The following is an 18,816-nucleotide window of genomic DNA, read 5'->3' on the forward strand; positions in this document are numbered from 1 at the left end:
TTGGTCCTGAACCAATGAGCGAGGAGACATCAAAGAGCCTATAAATCCCTTCCTCTTGGTCCCCAATGACAGATGACAGTAAATCACTTTTGTTCTCCCCCTCAAGACGGAGTCTTGCCCTGTCACCCTGGCTGGAGTGCAGTGGCACGATCTCTGCTCACTGCAATGTCCGCCTTCTGGGTTTAAGCAATTCTTCTGCCTCAGCCTCTGGAGTAGCTGGGGTTACAGGCCCACGCCATCACACCTGGCTAATTTTTTTTTTTTTCTGTATTTTTATTAGAGACGGGGTTTCACCATGTTAGCCAGGCTGGTCTCAAAATCCTGACCTTGTGATCCACCCACCTTGGCCTCCCAAAGTGCTGGGATTACAGGCATGAGCCACCACATCTGACCCAGTAAGTCACTTCTAAAGGGAAGAAACAATTTATTTTGTTTTGTTTTTTTTCAGTAAGAACATATTATCATATTATATCATGATATAATATAAAATCCCTTCCAATAAACCAATAGCCAAAATTCCATCATATGGCAGAGTCTGAAATCAAGTCTTCATATAATTCAATTCACCACTGTGATGGTTAATATTAGATGTCAACTTGATTGGATTGAAGAGTGCCTAGATAGCTGGTAAAGTATTATTCTGGGTGTGGCTGTGACGGTGTTGCCAGAGGAGACTGACATTTGAGTCAGTGGACTGGAGAGGAAGACTCCCCCTCAGTGTGGGTAGGCACCATCCAATCAAAACAACTAGAACAAAGCAGGTAGAAGAAGGTGGGTTAAGCTGGCTTGCTGAGTCTTCTGGCTTTCTTCTTTCTCCTGTGCTGAATGCTTCCTTCCGCTCCTCCTGCCTTTGGACATCAGAATCCAGGTTCTTCAGCCTTTGGACTCTTGGAGTTACACCACTGGTTTGCCAGGGGCTCTTGGGTCTTCAGCCACAGACTGAAGGCTGTACTGTCAGCTTCCCTGCTTTTGAGGCTTTTGGACTTGGACTGAGCCACTACTCTTCCCCAGCTTGCAGACAGCTTATTGTGGGACTTTGTCTTGTGATGGTGTGAGCCAGTTCTCCCTAAAAGACTCCCCATCATATATGCATATATCCTATTAGTTCTGTCCCTCTGGAGAACCCTGACTGATAAACCAACTACATCAAATGTATCAGTGTAATCAATCTACATAAATGCAAAATATATATACAGCAAACATTTAGTAATGGTTTACTAGGTGTCAAAAACTATTTTTTTTTTTAAAGTTTTGCAGATGATGAAACTGAGGCCCAGGACCACTTGCCCAAAGTCACACAACTTACAAGTTGCAGAGATGGAACTCAAATAAAGATTAGCTTAATCCTTACGTATGTTTCATACTAGTTTTTAACTCTGATTTGGGAAACTGATTGCCTGACACGGAAAGATATTTATTTCTACCGTAAGTAGATTATATCCTCCACCTTGCCAACAGAGCAAGGACACAGGCACTGAATAAACTGTCTGAACCAAAAAGCTGTCTGAATATCCACTTCTAAGTTTTAATTGGTGAGAGTATCAGTATTTCATTGAGCTGTCGGGAATCTGGCAGTTATTCCATAGGATTTTGAGACTGTCAGAAAGATAACAGTAAAGGCTATTCCACAACAAGGAGAAAAATGTGAGTACATTATGTAGGTTCTCAATACAATAATAAGTGAATACACAAGAGAAGGTAAAAAAACAGGCACCAAGAATACATACATGGATTCTGATTCTAGTGATGACCATGTAGCTCCTAACAGGCAATGCCCTTACGTAAATAGAAATATAAAAACAAGTATCTAGAGGCACTGGAAAGTGATGAAGGTGATACTGGAGGAGAATTATCCCTTGCAAGAAGGGAAGGGTACTGGATGAATTTCCTGATCTTTTACAACCTTCAGCCTGATGCTAAGTTTTGGTCTGTTCCTTGCTGGCTAAATTCAGACAGAACACCTGTAGTCTTATTGGCTTGAGGTACCAGAGGACAAAGTTTAGAGAAACGAGAGATGTGGGAAAACAATGGAGAAAATTCCAAAAAGAAGAGATTCAGAAAATGGAAGCACCCATTTCTGCGTATACATTCTGCCCAATAAGGCAGGAACCGAAAACCAAATATGCATGTTCTCACTTATAAGTGGGAGCTAAATGACGAGAACCCATGGGCACACAGAGGGGAACAACACACACTAAGGCCTATTGGAGAATGAAGGGAGAAGATCAGGAAAAATAACTAATGGGTACTAGGCTTAATGCCTGGGTGATGAAATAATCTCTACGACAAACCCCCATGACACAAGCTTACCTATATAACAAACCTGCACATGTACCCCTGAACTTAAAATGAAAGTTTAAAAACAAAACAAAACAAAAAAACTTCTGCCCAAATTGATACCTGAACTGTGCACGAGTAGGGAAGACTCCAAGTAGCCCACGTGAGGCTAAAAAAAGGCGCAAATTAACATTTTAGCTGTAAGCCACTGCAGAGAGGACAAACTTATCAAGTTGAGTTTAGTCAAGTTAAGCACTACTTGAAAAAAAAAAAAACAAAAAAACTAATACTCTTCAGAGAGAGACAACAGAATGCAGAATCTCTATGATATTATTCACAACGTTTCCAATCCTATCTTAAATTACTCAACATATGAAGAAATTAAAAACATTATCCAGGAAGAGAAAAAAAACAATCTACAGGGACCAACCTCAAGATGACCCAGATGTCAAGGTTTATTTTTTAAATGCTTATAATGAGTAAAAAGAAAGAAAATCTCAGCAGAGAAATAGAACTTTAAAAATGAACCCAGGCTGGGCATGATGGCTCACGCCTGTAATTCCCTTGCAAGAAGGGAGGCCCACGCAGGCAGATCACTTGGGCTCAGGAGTTAGAGACCAGCCTGGGCAACATGGTGAAACCCCATCTCTACAAAAAATACAAAAAAAATAGCCGGGCATGGTGGCATGAGCCTGTGGTCTCAGCTAATTGGGAGAATTGCTCGAACCCTGGAGGTGGAGGTTGCGGTGGGCCAAGATGGCGCCACTGCACTCCAGCCTGCACAAAGAGCAAAACCCTGTCTCAAAATAAGAATAAAAATGAACCTAACATAAAGTCCATAACTGTGTTAGGCCATTCTTGCATTACTATAAAGAAATATCTGGGACTGGGTAATTTATTTAAAAAAGAGGTTTGACTGGCTCTTGTTTCCGCAGGATTTACAGGAAGCATGGTGCCAGCATCAGCTTCTGCTAAGGGCTTCAGGAAGCTTACAATCATGAAGCTGGAGGAGGCATCTCACCTGGCAAGAGCGGGAGAGAGAGAGAGGGAGGTGCCAGACACTTTTAAACAACCAGATCTCCCTTGAACTTACTCATCACCAAGGGCATGGCACTAAGCCTTTCATGAGTGATATGTCCTCACGATGCAAACACCTCCCACCAGGCCCCACTGCCAACACTGCAGATTACATTTCAAAATAAGATTTGGCAGGTACACAGGTCCAAACCATATCAATAACTGAAAAACATAATATCTGAAATAAACTGTTAGAGCCTAGCATATTGGAGATGACAGAACAAAGAGTAAGTAAATTTTAAATTGATTAATAGAAATTTTCCAAGCTGAAGAACACAGATGAAAACTACTAGAAAAAAAATTAAAATACAGAGCCTCGGGGACCTGTGGGACAATATAAAACTATTTAACATACATGTGATTTGAGTCCCCGAATGAAAGAAAAGAACAGAGAAAACATCTTTAGGGTAATAATAACTAAAATTTCTCCAAATTTTATAAAAGACAAATAAACAGATTCAGAAATGCCAGCAAACCAAAAGCCATATTCGATGAAAACCACACCTAGGCAGATCATTGCTGAAGACCAAGATTAAAGAGAAAATCTTTAAAGCAGCTAGAGCAAGATGATATATTACCTATAGGAAAACAATTTGAATTATTGCTGACTTCTAATCAGAAACAATGGAGGCCATAAGACATTATCTTTAAAGTGCTAAAAGCTTTTGTAAAAAAATCCAGGGCTAGGTGCATTGTCTCAAGCCTGTAATCCCAGCATTTTGGGAGGCGGTGGTGGAAGGATTGCTTGAGTCCTTCCACCTCAAGGATTGCTTGAGGAGTTTGAGACCAGCCCTGGCAACATAGGGAGACTGTGTTTCAAAAAAAAAAAAAAAATTAGCTGAGCATGGTTGCACACATCTGTGGTCCTAGCTACTTGGGAAGCTGAGGTGGGGGAATCACCTGAGCCTGGGAAGCCAATGCTACAGTGAGCCATGACCACACTACTGTACTCCAGCCTGAGTGACACAGCAAGACTGTCTCAAAAAAAAAGAATTTCAGAATTTGAATCCAGCAAAAGATTATTTAAGACAAGTGGTGGGCCGGGCGCGGTGGCTAATGCCTGTAATCCCAGCACTTTGGGAGGCCGGGGCAGGTGGATCACGAGGTCAGGAGATCAAGATCATCCTGGCTAACACGGTGAAACCCCGTCTCTACTAAAAATACAAAAAATTAGCCGGGCGTGGTGGCGGGTGCCTGTAGTCCCAGCTACTGGGAAGGCTGAGGCAGGAGAATGGCGTGAACCTGTGGGGCGGAGCTTGCAGCAAGCCGAGATCGCGCCACTGCACTCCAGCCTGGGCGACAGAGCGGGACTCTGTCTCAGGAAAAAAAAAAAAAAAGAAAAAAGACAAGTGGTGAAATAAAGACATTTCAAATAGATGAAAAAATTTCCAAAGAAATATAGAAACTTTGACACATGATCAAACCTAAGAACTTGTCTCTAAAAGAACCATTCGGTTAAAAAAAGATAAAACTTAAGAACTAAAGTCAATTCTTTGTTTGTTTTTCGTTTTGAGATGGAGTCGCGCTCTGTTGCCCAGGCTGGAGTGCTGTGGCATGATCTCTGGTCAGGCTTGTAATCCCAGCACTTTTGGAGGTTGAGGCAGGCAGATCACTTGAGGTCAGGAGTTTGGATTAGCCTGGCCAACATGGTGAAACCCCGTCTCTACTAAAAATACAAAGATTAGCCAGCAGTGGTGACAAGTGCCTGTAACCCCAGCTGTGTGGGAGGCTGAGGCAGGAGAATCGCTTGAACCTGGGAGGCAGAGTTTGCAGTGAGCCGAGATTGTGCCACTGCACTCCAGCCATATATATATATGCACTCCATATACATATATAAATATATATGCACTCCATATATATATATAAATATATATGCACTCCATATATATATATAAATATATATGCACTCCATATATATATATAAATATATATGCACTCCATATATATATATGCACTCCATATATATATAAATATATATGCACTCCATATATATATGTAAATATATATGCACTCCATATATATATATGTAAATATATGTGCACTCCATATATATATGTAAATATATATGCACTCCATATATATATGTAAATATATATGCACTCCATATATATGTAAATATATATGCACTCCATATATATGTAAATATATATGCACTCCATATATATGTAAATATATATGCACTCCATATATATATGTAAATATATATGCACTCCATATATATATGTAAATATATATGCACTCCATATATATATGTAAATATATATGCACTCCATATATATGTAAATATATATGCACTCCATATATATGTAAATATATATGCACTCCATATATATGTAAATATATATGCACTCCATATATATGTAAATATATATGCACTCCATATATATGTAAATATATATGCACTCCATATATATGTAAATATATATGCACTCCATATATATGTAAATATATATGCACTCCATATATATGTAAATATATATGCACTCCATATATATGTAAATATATATGCACTCCATATATATGTAAATATATATGCACTCCATATATATGTAAATATATATGCACTCCATATATATGTAAATATATATGCACTCCATATATATGTAAATATATATGCACTCCATATATATGTAAATATATATGCACTCCATATATATGTAAATATATATGCACTCCATATATATGTAAATATATATGCACTCCATATATATGTAAATATATATGCACTCCATATATATGTAAATATATATGCACTCCATATATATGTAAATATATATGCACTCCATATATATGTATATATATATGTAATAATATGATGATAGCAAAAATAATGGCGATAGAGTGATAAATGTTACACTGGTCTTCCCATACATTTTACATAAAATGAAACAATATAAAGTCTAAGTAGATTGTGAAAAGTTAAGAATGTCACATTGTAATCCCTGAAGAAACTCTAAGAAATGGAAAGAGATAGCTAATAAGTCAACAGATAGATTGAGATGGAATTTAAAAAATATCCAGTTAATTCAATAAAAGGCAAGAAAGAAAATCCAGAGGAACGAAAATCAGAGTGGGCAAAGAGAAAAGAAATGGCAGAACAGTAGACCTGAATTGAACTATATTAGTTAACTAAATGTAAATGGATGAAATAATCCGATTAAAAGGCAGAGCTTGTCAGAATGGATTAAAAAAATATATCCAACCATATGCTGTCTATAGTAGACACATTTTAAATAATAATAAGAGAGAGATAAGGTAAAATTAACAGATCAGAAAGCTACATCCTGCAAACTGTAAGCCTTTTAAAAGGTTGGAGTAAGTATATTAACATTAGACAAAGTAGACATCAAGGCAAAAAGTATTATCAGAGATAAATAGGAATATTTCATGATGGTAAAGGGTCCATTCATCAGGAAGGCATAACAAATGTAAATGTAAATATGTCTAATAATAGTACATCAAAATACATGAAGTAAAAATTAACAGGATTAAAGAGGGAAATAGAGAAATCCACAATTCTTATTTTAATTTTCCTCTTGCAGCAATTGATAAAACAACTACACACACACAAAAAATCAGTAAAGATATGGAAGATTTGAACATAGTATCAACTCTTGACCCAGTTGACATTTATAGAACACTTCACCCAACAAGGGCAGAATATACATTCTTTTCAAGTATGCATGATCATTATTAATACATGCACCCACAGCCATTTGGTGGCCCAGAGCATGAATCTCAACAAATTTAAAAGAATTAAAATCATTCATAGTGTGTTCTCTGACCAAACAGAAATCAAATCAGAAATAAGTTTAAAAAAAAATATATATATATATAACTCAAATCCTTGGAAATGAAACAGCACACTTCTAGATAAGTTAATGATCAAAGAAAAAGTTATAAAGAAAATTGAAACATAATTTTAACTAAATGATAAAGATACAATATGTCAAAATATGTGGGGGGCGGGCAGCAAAAGCAATGAATGCTTCACGGAAGATTTATAGCTTCAAAATATTACATGAGAAGAAATAAAGGCTTAAAATCAATGATCTAAGTTTTCAGTTAATAAATTAGAAAAAGAAGAACAAAGTAATGTCAAAGTAAGTAAGATGAAGAAAATCATAAAAGTTGGAAGTCAATGAAACAGAAAACATACACGTAATTGGGAAAATCAACAAACCCAAATCTTTAACTAGAAAGATATGTGTATGTATAAAGAGAGAATATGAATTACCAGTACCAGGAATATTATTCTAGAATAACCAGGAGAAGTTATTCTATAGACATTGAAAGGATAATCAAGAAATTATAAATAACTTAATCCATGAAATTAAAAAAAATTAAGTAAAATAGACAAGTTCTTTGAAAAACGTAACTTACTAGAACTGAAAAAATATGAAACAGAAAATTTGAATATCTCTATTTCTATTAAAGACATTGATTAGTTGTGAGAAAACTTTCTATACAGAAAACTCCAAACCCAGATAGTTTTATTAGTAAATTCTATCTATTAAAGAAATAATACCAATAATGCACAAATTCTTTTAGAAAATAAAGTAGAAAGAATATTTTTAAACACATAAGGCTAGTATAATCCTGTCATCAAAATCTGACAAAGATATTACAAAGAGAAAAACATATCTCATGAACATAGATTTAAAGTCCTTAACAAAATCTTAGCAAAGTGAATCCAGCAGCATATAAAATAAATGCTCTATCTTGACCTAGCAGGGATTATTCTAGGAAGTCAAGGTTGGCTTAACATTTAAAAAAATCAATTACTGTCATTTGTCAAATAGACAGAATTAAGTGAACTGGCTTTTCTATATGACAAAACATTATATACTAATTTAAAAATATCATATTTTCTCTCAGTTTATTATCCTGAAGAGATTTGGGATGGTGGGGGGAGGGCAAAAAGGGGAAAAGGGGGAAAAACTAATAAAGTAAAATATATACTGCTATAGTTCGGATGTGTGTCCCTGCCAAAATCTCATATTGAAATGTAATCCCCAGTGTTGGAGGTGGGGCCTGGTAGGAGGTAATTGGATACTGGGGGTGGATTTCTCATGAATGGCTTAGCGCCATCGCTCATAGTACTGTCCTCGTGATAGTGAGTTCTTGTGAGATCTGGTCGCTTAAACTTGTGTGGCTGTCCCCCTCACTCTGTTGCTCCTGCTCTGACCATGTGAAATGTCTGTTCCTCTTTTGACTTCTGCCATGATTATCAGTTTCCTGAGGCCTCCCCAGAAGCTCAGCAGATGCTGGTACCATGCTTCCTATACAGCCTGCAGAACCATGAGCCGATTAAACCTCTTTTGTTTATAAATTACCTAGTCTCAGGTATTTCTTTATAGCAGGGTGAGAATAGACTAACATACATATGGAATAAAGGCTTATGAGTTACTGGTTTATTATTATTACTGTTGTTAACCTTTCAATAATTTGTGCTTGGAGGAGCTGCCCCTCTATGTAGCTCAGGTACATTTTTTTTTTTTTTGGCAATTCTGGGAACAATCATTTCTAAAGAATCTGAAATGGTTTGCACATAATTGCTTGAATGTCACCACTGAAATCAGTATTTTTAAAAAATATTTATTTTCATTGAAGTTCACAAAGAAGGAATTTAAATGTTCCAAAATTAAGGGCTGATGTTGATACAGAGAAAGACAGCAACATTTCCATAGTATTGTATGAACAAATGAGATTCAATTCTCAGAGGATTTCATCCTGTCTTATCAGGTACTACTGGTTAATAGACCAGAGAAAATAATGATACCTGTTAATTTATTCAGGGCTTATTATTCACTGGGCACTAATCTGAGTGCTAGATATGCACTACCTAATTTCATTTTGCTATATTCTGATAACCCTAATGCTATTACATAAGCATTGCACATAAGTATTGTACAACACATTGTACATAGGAAGAAACTGAGGCACAAAGAAGTTTAATACCTTACCCACAGTCACACAGCAAGTAAGACGGCAGAGCCAGGATTTGAATCTAGGTAGCTGGCTGCAAGCCTGTAGTGAAAATTGTTTAGATGTGACTCTCAAAAACTTTTTTTAAATCTGATATTCATATGTCTGTGGGTACATTTAATATGCTTCACCCCAAATATCTGATATTCATATGTCTTTGGTACATTTAATATGTTTCACCCCAAATTGTAAAGACTAAAGTACTTTTTTTTTTTTTTTTTTTGAGATGGAGTCTTGCTCTGTCACCCAGGCTGTAGTGCAGTGGCGCGATCCTGGCTCACTGCAACCTCTGCCTCCTGGGTTCAAGGCATTCTCCTGCCTCTGCCTCCTGAGTAGCTGGGACTACAGGCTCCCGCCACCATGTCTGGCTAATTTTTGTATTTTTTGGTAGAGACGGGGTTTCATCATGTTGGCCAGGCTGGTCACGAACTCCTGACCTCAAGGGATCTGCCTGCCTCGACCTCCCAAAGTGCTGGGATTACACAGGTGAGCCACTGTGCCCAGCCTGAAGTACATTTTTATAATTACAAGAGTCTATAAAACAAATAATTTAAACCTATTCATCCAAATATGTACTAGAGAATGAAATTAGCTCACACATTCCACAAAGGGTGTGGATAAAAGAATACTAAATGTAAGGTGAAATGCTTGAAGGAGGCAGAAATGATTGGAGACAGCCTCCTTGGGATGAAACTCAAAGAAATTCCATGAGAGGCATGGGTATATTAGAGCAGACACTCAATTTGCACGAGAGATAGGGGCTGAAACCTCCCAAACACTTCTGAAAGCTATCTTACTCTATAATGCAGTAAAGATGACCAACATTTAAGGGTTCCTTCAGACACTTAAGGAGGGTTGCCAGACTCACGATATACTCATTGCTAAGGCAGGGCTGGGGATACAGAAGAAAACAGAATCAGGACTTCAGCTCATGAGCAAGTTCCTTTCAAAGGCGTTCTGCTGCTTCCCAAAGCATCTCTAAAATGTTTACTTAGAGTCTTTTAGGCATCTGGGACATAATAGCTGGAATAAAAACACTAGGCGCATTCTAGTTTTTAGAACTACGGAGTATGAGTCAAGATTAAATATTAATATTACATTGTGTTTGTATCCAAATAAAATATTGAGATATGTTGTCAAGAGTTACTCTTCACCTATGATTTCTGCTCCTTCAGGTTTCAGGATGAATACAACTTCCTATTATTTTCCTTTGTAATCTTTGTTGAGGCTTGCAATTGCAGCATTATTTGCCTGCCTTATTAACTATTTATTTATTGTTTACCTCCTCTGCACCAGATGTCAGGAACTTTGCCAGTCTTACTCAGCACTGCATCCTCATAATGGTGTCTGAATCCCAGGGTAGTGCCTGGTGAAAAACAAGAGCTTAATGACTAAATGAATGAATATACAAATGAATGAATGAATGACGCAGAATTTAAATGTGGATGTAGGGTGATCAGTAAGCCTCAGTCACTAGGTAATTGACTCATACTCAAGTATTTGTTTTATAGCCTGTAGTATAATTCCACTAAGTGGCTCAGCAAAATTATAAGCATTTATATTCATATGCCCGCTATCTCTTGAATTGCTGAAACTAGAATTACCAAGTGTGCAAATTCTGAGAATCTCATGTGCAGCAAGTCAAATCCTAGTGCATATAAGAATTACCTGCCTGGGGAGCTTTCAAAATGTCATTTCCTAGCTTCCATCCTACCTGTGCTAAAATGACCAGTAGACAGAGAATTAGGGAATCTAGAACAAATCCTGACTCTGTAAAGACTATATGAACCCGGGCATGGTATTTATCATTTTTTTGCCTTTCTGCAAAATGAGAAGAATAGATTAAATAAAGTTTGACTTTCTTTCTGTGTATGCAGGTCTGTATGCATTTGAGCCATGTGTTAGGCCTTATATTGAGTATAAAGAAATGAAATTTATAGTTAAAGTCTAACTGGCACAAATAAAAGTATGTATTTACAGAGTGCAATGTGATATTTGATATATGTGTATACTGTAAAATGATTAAATCAAACTAACATATCTATCCACTTACATATATACATATAATGTTTTGTGGTGAGAAAAATTAAGATCTACTTTTTTGGCAATTTTCAAGTATCCAATTCGTTATTATTAACTATAATCCCCATGCTGTATAATTGATCTCCAGAGCATATTCATCATGTCTAAATGAGGCTTTGTACCCTTTGACCAACATCTCCCCATTGGAAGAAAATCATTTAAACGAAACAAAAATGAAATAAGAGTACCAAATGACAGTTGAGAGTTACCACCTTTCTTGGGCCCTAAGATGCACATCTTTCCTTCCATATTTAATGTTTTTGAAATTGAGATGCATCTAACAATTGAAATTAAAAAAAAAAAACTTTCAAAGAAGAGAAATAAATTGTGACATCATCATCTTCCCCTGCATATTAAGTAAATGGACCCATTTCTAGAAGGGACACCTCACGGTAGTCCTGTGAATCTTAACTGAACCTGGGGACACCTGACAGTTGCTTTATGCATTTGGAAAACATTTCAGGTGTTTTCTAAAATGATAATACTGTGAGGCAATCCTGAAACAAAAATATATCTGGTAAGCAGAGGACTGCTGGTAACACAGCAGGCAACACAAATAACATCAGGAGAATCTGCGAAATTTGTCAGGATAACTCATGGAAATTCAAAGTGAAGAGAGGTTGGCCTTTTTGATTTATGTATCTTGAAAGGCTATTATGTATCTTGAAAGGCTACGTTGCTGAACACCTGCCCATCAGAAACCCTTGTCACTTTTAAGAGAAGCTAAATATGTAATTATGTTTAAGGAGAAGGCAAAATGATATGCTCAGTCAAATACAAAATGCAGAGGAAGCCTCAGTATGCTTTAATATATCTCAAGAGGAATCTGTCAGAGAGCAGATCAGTGGTTGCCTGGGGTTGGTGTTGGGAGAGGGAGGGAGGGATAACAAAGGGGGTACAAAGAAACTATTGGGGGTGATGGATATGTTCATTATCTTGATTGTGGTGATAGTTTCACAGGCAAATACAAACATCAACACATCAACTTATTCATTTTAAATATGTGCATTTTTGTGTCCTTCAATTATTCTTCAAAAAATGGAAAAGGTGTTTATTTTGTCAATAATGAAAATCCACAGAGGTCAAGGTCACAGGGATGGATTATTGAAGGAAGTAAGTCATGAGAAGACATGCTGAATGATTCAGGAGACTCTTCAGAATCTGAATAACGATATCATCATCCCCTTCTCACCAACACTATTATTTGTTAAGCACTCACTCTTCGTGGACCTGGCATTCTACAAGAAATTTTACTGTATCATCACATTTAATCATCACAACCACCCTGGAAGGCTTATCTCACTATTACCTCCATTTTACTGATAAGGAAATGAAGCCATATAAAGGGTAAAACTTGCCCCAGATTGCAGAACTAATAATGCAGGATTTGAACCAGTCGGAATCCACGCTCTTAAACTACTCCTCTAGCTGGCCCTTAACACTGGGAATAAAACACTTAAACACTGCTATTCGACAGGATTTCTCATATTGCTAGCTAAGGATAGAATAAAGAGCAATGATATCCCTTTAAAAGTTCTATAACTTGATCAAATTGGAGATCTAGCAGCACAATTCACAACTGCAAAAATATAGAACCAGCCCAAATGCTCATCAAGCAATGAGTGGATAAGGAAAATGTGATATATATATCGCATATTTATATACCATGGCATACTTCTCAGCCATATATATAAAATATATCAAACATATATACAATATATAAAATATAAAACATATATATTATATATATAAAATATATATATACTCACCATGGAATACTACTCAGCCATAAAAAAGAACAAGATAATGTTATTTACAGCAGCCTGGATGGAATTGGAGACCATTATTCTAACTGAAGTAACTCAGGAATGGAAAATCAAACATCATATGTTCTTACTCATAAGTGGAAGCTAGGCTGTGAGGATGCAAAGGCATAAGAATGATGCAGTGGACTTTGGGGATTTGGGGAAAGGGGTGGGAGGGGTGAGGGATAAAAGAATACACATTGGGTACAGTGTACACTGCTTGGGTTGTGGGTGCACCAAAATCTAAGAAATCACCACTAAAGAACTTATTCATGTAACCAAATACCACCTGTTCCCGAAAACCAATTGAAATAAAAAAAAAATTCTATAACTTGAAAGACCTACATGAATATATCAAATATCTGGCATATTCGAGGGTAACCATAAGTTGAAAGTCTATCCTATAAACAGTACTTGAGGACTTTAGATGGGTCTGTAGTTTGATCATTCTGTAGTTACGGTTTTCAGTTGCGGTGAGCAAGGGACAGAGGTGCCTAAATTTAGGTTTGGTATTTCTTTTTTTCTTTTTTTTTTTTTTTTTTTGAGACGGAGTTTCGCTCTTGTTGCCCATGCTGGAGTGCAATGGTGCTATCTCAGCTCACTGCAACCTCCACCTCCCAGGTTCAAGCGATTCTCCTGCCTCAGCCTCCCCAGTAGCTGGGATTACAGGCATGCACCACCACGCCCGGCTAATTTTGTATTTTTAGTAGAGATGGAGTTTCTCCATTTTGGTCAGGCTGGTCTCGAACTCCCGACCTCAGGTGATCCACCTGCCTCGGCCTCCCAAAGTGCTGGGATTACAGGCGTGAGCCACCGCACCTGGCTGGTATTTCATTACTTTTTAAGAAAAAGGGTGGTGAATCAAGGAGTCTAGAGGGACTTGGAAACACTGAACATTTCCAAGCATCATGCTCTGTGAGGTGTATATTCTTGGTTGTTGCCTTATTTATATAACATAAAATATATTATTGTAGCCACTTTTAAGTATACAGCTCAATGACATTACATATATTTGTTGCCTTTTTTTCAAAGGTAGTATTTCTTCCTGAGGAGACAGTTGTGTGGTAAAGTTGCATGTGTGCTGCAGTCTAATAGACTGGTGTTTGATTTCCACTTCTGTCTTTTTGTAGGGTATGACCTTGGTCAATTTGAAAACCTCTCTATCCTTCAGTTTCCTCATCTGTAAAATGATGTTGATACAGGCCTACCAGACAGTACTGTTGCAGGCATTAATCAATATAATGTTTGGAAATTGCTCAGTATAATTTCTGGCATGGAGTAAAAGCTTTCAATATGCTGTAGAAAATGTAGCTATTATAAATCCATCAAACGTTTCTGCAAGTCAGTGATTCTTAACCTCCTGGAGAAAGCTGAACCTAAGGGGGTCCTGAATTGGATTTGAGGGGTCCTATAAGTGTCCTAAAGGATGCGTAAATTCATGTATCTTCTCTCTGTAAGTGTTTCGGAAAAAGACACACAACTTTCACCAGATTTTCAAAGAAGTATTAGAAGTACAAGGGTGAAAACAGAAAACTTATTAGAGAAATATATATGACCAGATCAACCTCACTTAATCTGCTATTCGGGGCTTTGACCTTTGACCTAAGTTTTTCCCTTCCCTCTGTAGGTATTGTGGGTAAGTAGAAGAGCAAAAGGCTTACTCTTTGTCTTAGGGATACCTAATGGTGTTGCATATAAGGGGGTATAAGTCACACCCCCTGGAGTTGTGGCCTGCAGTCTGCAGAGTTTGGCCTACTTTTCCCCCACACCCTTGGCACAGTGCAGCTGCATGGTCCTGGGGACACAGTGCTAACTGGACAGCAGGGTTGCTATGAGATTGTGCATGGGAAGACAAGGAACTCATAGAGTTAAGATGGCTTCACAGCCTGTGCCCTCACTTGGCTGTCTGGACCCTAGCCTTTCATAGTACAGCACTTTGCACATACGTCTAACAAGATCACCTGGGAAACTTGCAAATACGTGGTAGGTCTGGAGTGGGGCTGAGATTGTGTATTTCTAACAAGTTCCTAGGGGATCACACTTGGAATAGTGAGGCTCTAACCTTTTCATGTTAGTTTATTTGTCTGTTTCCCCAGTTGTCTCTGGGCAAAATGAAGGCAGGGGACAGGACCTTGTCTTATTCTCTTTCTGAGGGGTTTAGTACAGAGGTGACATATAGGTTGAAAGTAAATGCTTAAGAAGTGTAAGGAAGGAAAAAGGAAGGAAGGAGAGACGGAAGGAAGCAAGGAGGAAACAAAAGAAGGAAGGTCCGGGCATGGTGGCTCACACCTGTAATCCCAGTACTTTGGGAGGCTGAAATGGGTGGATCTCTTGGGCCCAAGAGTTTGATGCCAGCCTAGGCAAAGGACAAAACCCCATCTCTACAAAAAATACAAAAAATTAGCTGGGCATGGTGGCACTCACCTGGGGTCTCACCTACTCGGGAGGCTGAGTTGGGAGGATCACCTGAGCGTGGGGAGGTTGAGGGTGTCGTGACCTGTGATCATGCCACTGTACTACAGCCTGGGTGACAGAGCAAGATGCTGAGAAAAAGAAGGAAGGAAGAAAGGAAGGAAGGAAGGAAGGAAGGAAGGAAGGAAGGAAAGGGAAGAGAAGGAGGGAGGTGAGGGGAGGGACAGAAGGGAGGGAGGGAGGGAGGGAAAGGAGGGGAGGGGAGGGGACAGAGGAAAGAGGAGAGTGGGGAGAGGGAAGGAGGGGAAGGAGAGAATGGAAAGAAAGGAGAGAAAAGAAAGGTATGTAGTTTTGAGCAGAAAGGGGTTGTACACTGAAGGCGTGTAAGCATGTAGTTGTCATAACTGGACAGATTTTCCAGATACATTTCTGCCTCTAAGATCAAAGTTTCTTCCCTCTCTGAGACTCAAGGAAGGCACTCCGCCAGAAAAAGGAGAGGAAATAGAAGTCACCAAGCTGACCACTAATCAAGAGACTGAAGTTTGTCTCCAAGAGACAATTCTCTAATTTCTACAAAATGAGAACATTTACTGTATAATGAAATTCATTGTGCAGAACATCTCCTGAGCATAAAAATCTACAAGACGTAGACAGCTGCTCATAGGGCCATTTTTAAACACCTTCTTTTGGAGTAGGCTGTTCTTTGACATGGACTGCAAAGTTTTACTTATGCAGTTATTTTATCACCTTTATCGCAAATGCATAAAAAGTAAAGACTCAAGGAAAGAAGGAAGGTTCTAAAAATATTCTTCATAGAGGCAGACACAAACTGGGGTTGAAAAGCCCAATTATCTTCTGTCACTTATATCACTCTAGTTGGAAACAGCTTTAACATCGGGAGTGACCACATATTACCTATCCTGCTCAGAGTCACCACTGCATTTACTTTCTAGTAGATGATTTAACAGACAGACAGAGAATGTGAGTGCCACTGGTTAGAACATGGTTTCTAGGTGTCACACTATTTCATCAGGCAATGATGAATCACACTGCGGCTCTCACATCGACTTTCCCACGACCTCTGAGCAACTAGAGAAAGCCAAAGAACAATTCTGGGAGTTTGATTTCCCTAACAAAGCAACAGAAGGCCCAGATTAAACTGGCCTCTTTGAAACTTAAAAGGAACCACCATTTTGTCACCTTTTAGGGGGGCAAGCTGATTAATGGGCAGCGAATAATCACAAGAGAATTCACTGATTAAATGTGTAGCCATTGTAAATGCAGATCCAAACCCTTAGAAAGAAATAAATGCAGACCCTTCTTGAGTTTCGCTGATTCTGCTCATATGTTTTGTATTTACAAAGAAAATAAAAATTGTCAAGGCAATTTTTAAGGAAGAGCTTAAGAGGAAAAAGCAAACCTTTAGCACAAGTTGCAAATGCAGTTAGCTTATTAAACATTATCTTATTCAACCCATCTTATGCCACATCCCAAAAAGGGCACAGAAACTGGAAAAAAAGCAACCCATCCTGACTCAAATGTCAACTAAAATGTCTGAAAGTTTCCATGATGATGTTGATAATGGTGATGATGACAGCAACTAAGTTGTCATCAACTGGATACTCTAAGTATTCTTCATATATTAAGTTGTCTACTCCTCAACAAAATATAAAATAGATGCTTATTAACTCCATTTTTACAGATGAGGAATCTGAGACATACAGAGTTTAAGTAACTTGTCTAAAATTACATAGGCGGTTAATGGCACAATTTACTCAACTTTGGGTAATGTGGCCTTGGTACATGTGCTTTTGAGTCCTCCTAGCATTGATATTGATGATATGAATAAACTAAATGATGTGCTCCCATGACACTGCAGTTTCCATGGTATTTACTTCAACTGTCTATGAAGTAGCTCTCCTGGCTCTAATAGTCCATAAGACTGTAAACCTCATGGAATAGTCCCATTCCATGAGCAATGGTTCAATAGGCAAATGACTTTAGTTGAGTGGTTCAGTCCATATCAATCTAATAATAAGTGCCTATTAAGTCCTGGTTGTGGCACAAGAGAGGAGAGAGGATGGTGAGGGGAGAACATTAAAGAAACATAGAAAGATGGCCCTGTCCTTATGTCACATCTTCTAAAAGATGTGCTTGAATTAAAGATGCTTGGATTTTGAGAGGTTTTGCCAAAGAGTACTGTATTACCACTATAAAGGGAAGCCAAGAGTGATAGAGGTAATTTTCACCATCCAGCATCCTCTCACTCTTCCATTGGTAACTGCATCCTGAACTTCTTTCAAAGTACCTAATCTCCTGTTTCCCCAAGATGCACAGTCTTGCTTTGATGTCAGAGGATAGGTAAGTGCCCTGAATCCTGCCAGAGTCATCCTCTTGGAAATTCAAATTTTGAGCAGAGTCATACATGGACAAAAAAACTTCAACATCAATGAACATTTCATACATTCATCCTCGGTATCTGCCCCTTGCAGGTACTAGAGTCCAGAGATGCTCAAGTCCCTGCTATAAAATGGCATAATAGTTGCATATAACCTACCTACATCCTCCCATGTACATGAAATCATTTCTAGATTACTTATAATACCTAGTACAATGGAAACGCTACATAACAGTTGTTATGCTGTATTATCTTTTTTTATTGTTGTATTGTTATTTTTATTGGCTTTTCCTGAACATTTTCAATCTGTAGTTGGTTGAATCTGTAGATGCTGAATCTACAGATATGAAGGGCCAATTGCACTGAGTTGGAGAAGCTTAATCCAATTCTGCTGCCTGGAAAACCAGACCCCAGTACTACCCTGCTTTGTGCCCTTCTGGATCTTGTTCTTTAAGTGTTGCTTTGATTCTGTGTGATCCCTCATGTCCTTCAACATATTCATTTTTGGCTTAAGTTGTCCAGTTTTTGTTCCTTGTAACCATGTAACCCTAACTGGTACACCACAATTACACATTCAGTTATTCTATGTTCCTGTTAACATTTAATTACATGTATCTCAAGTCACTTTATAGAAGCATTGTTGGTAATAAAGGGGAACAATTAGGTAGGGTTTAAATAAGCCTGCTGATGAAAGTCAATGTGACTGTATTATTCCAGAAAGAAAATACATTGAAAATGTCCCCCAAACTCTTTCTGCATTTATTTCATTAACTGAAT

At 37.9% G+C, this 18,816-nt stretch overlaps 1 long non-coding RNA gene across 1 annotated transcript in view; it reads right to left on the reverse strand.

Moving 5' to 3' along the window:
• LOC105377144 (uncharacterized) overlaps nt 1-18,816 on the reverse strand; it is a 192,342-nt gene that overhangs the window by 88,810 nt on the left and 84,716 nt on the right. Inside the window, exon 2 of the long non-coding RNA XR_940939.2 lies at nt 10,625-10,708. This is a non-coding gene — a long non-coding RNA (uncharacterized LOC105377144). The remainder of the gene's footprint in view (nt 1-10,624; nt 10,709-18,816) is intronic.

This window comes from Homo sapiens, chromosome 3, assembly GCF_000001405.40.
Source record: "Homo sapiens chromosome 3, GRCh38.p14 Primary Assembly".
NCBI classification, from domain to species: Eukaryota; Metazoa; Chordata; class Mammalia; order Primates; family Hominidae; genus Homo; species Homo sapiens.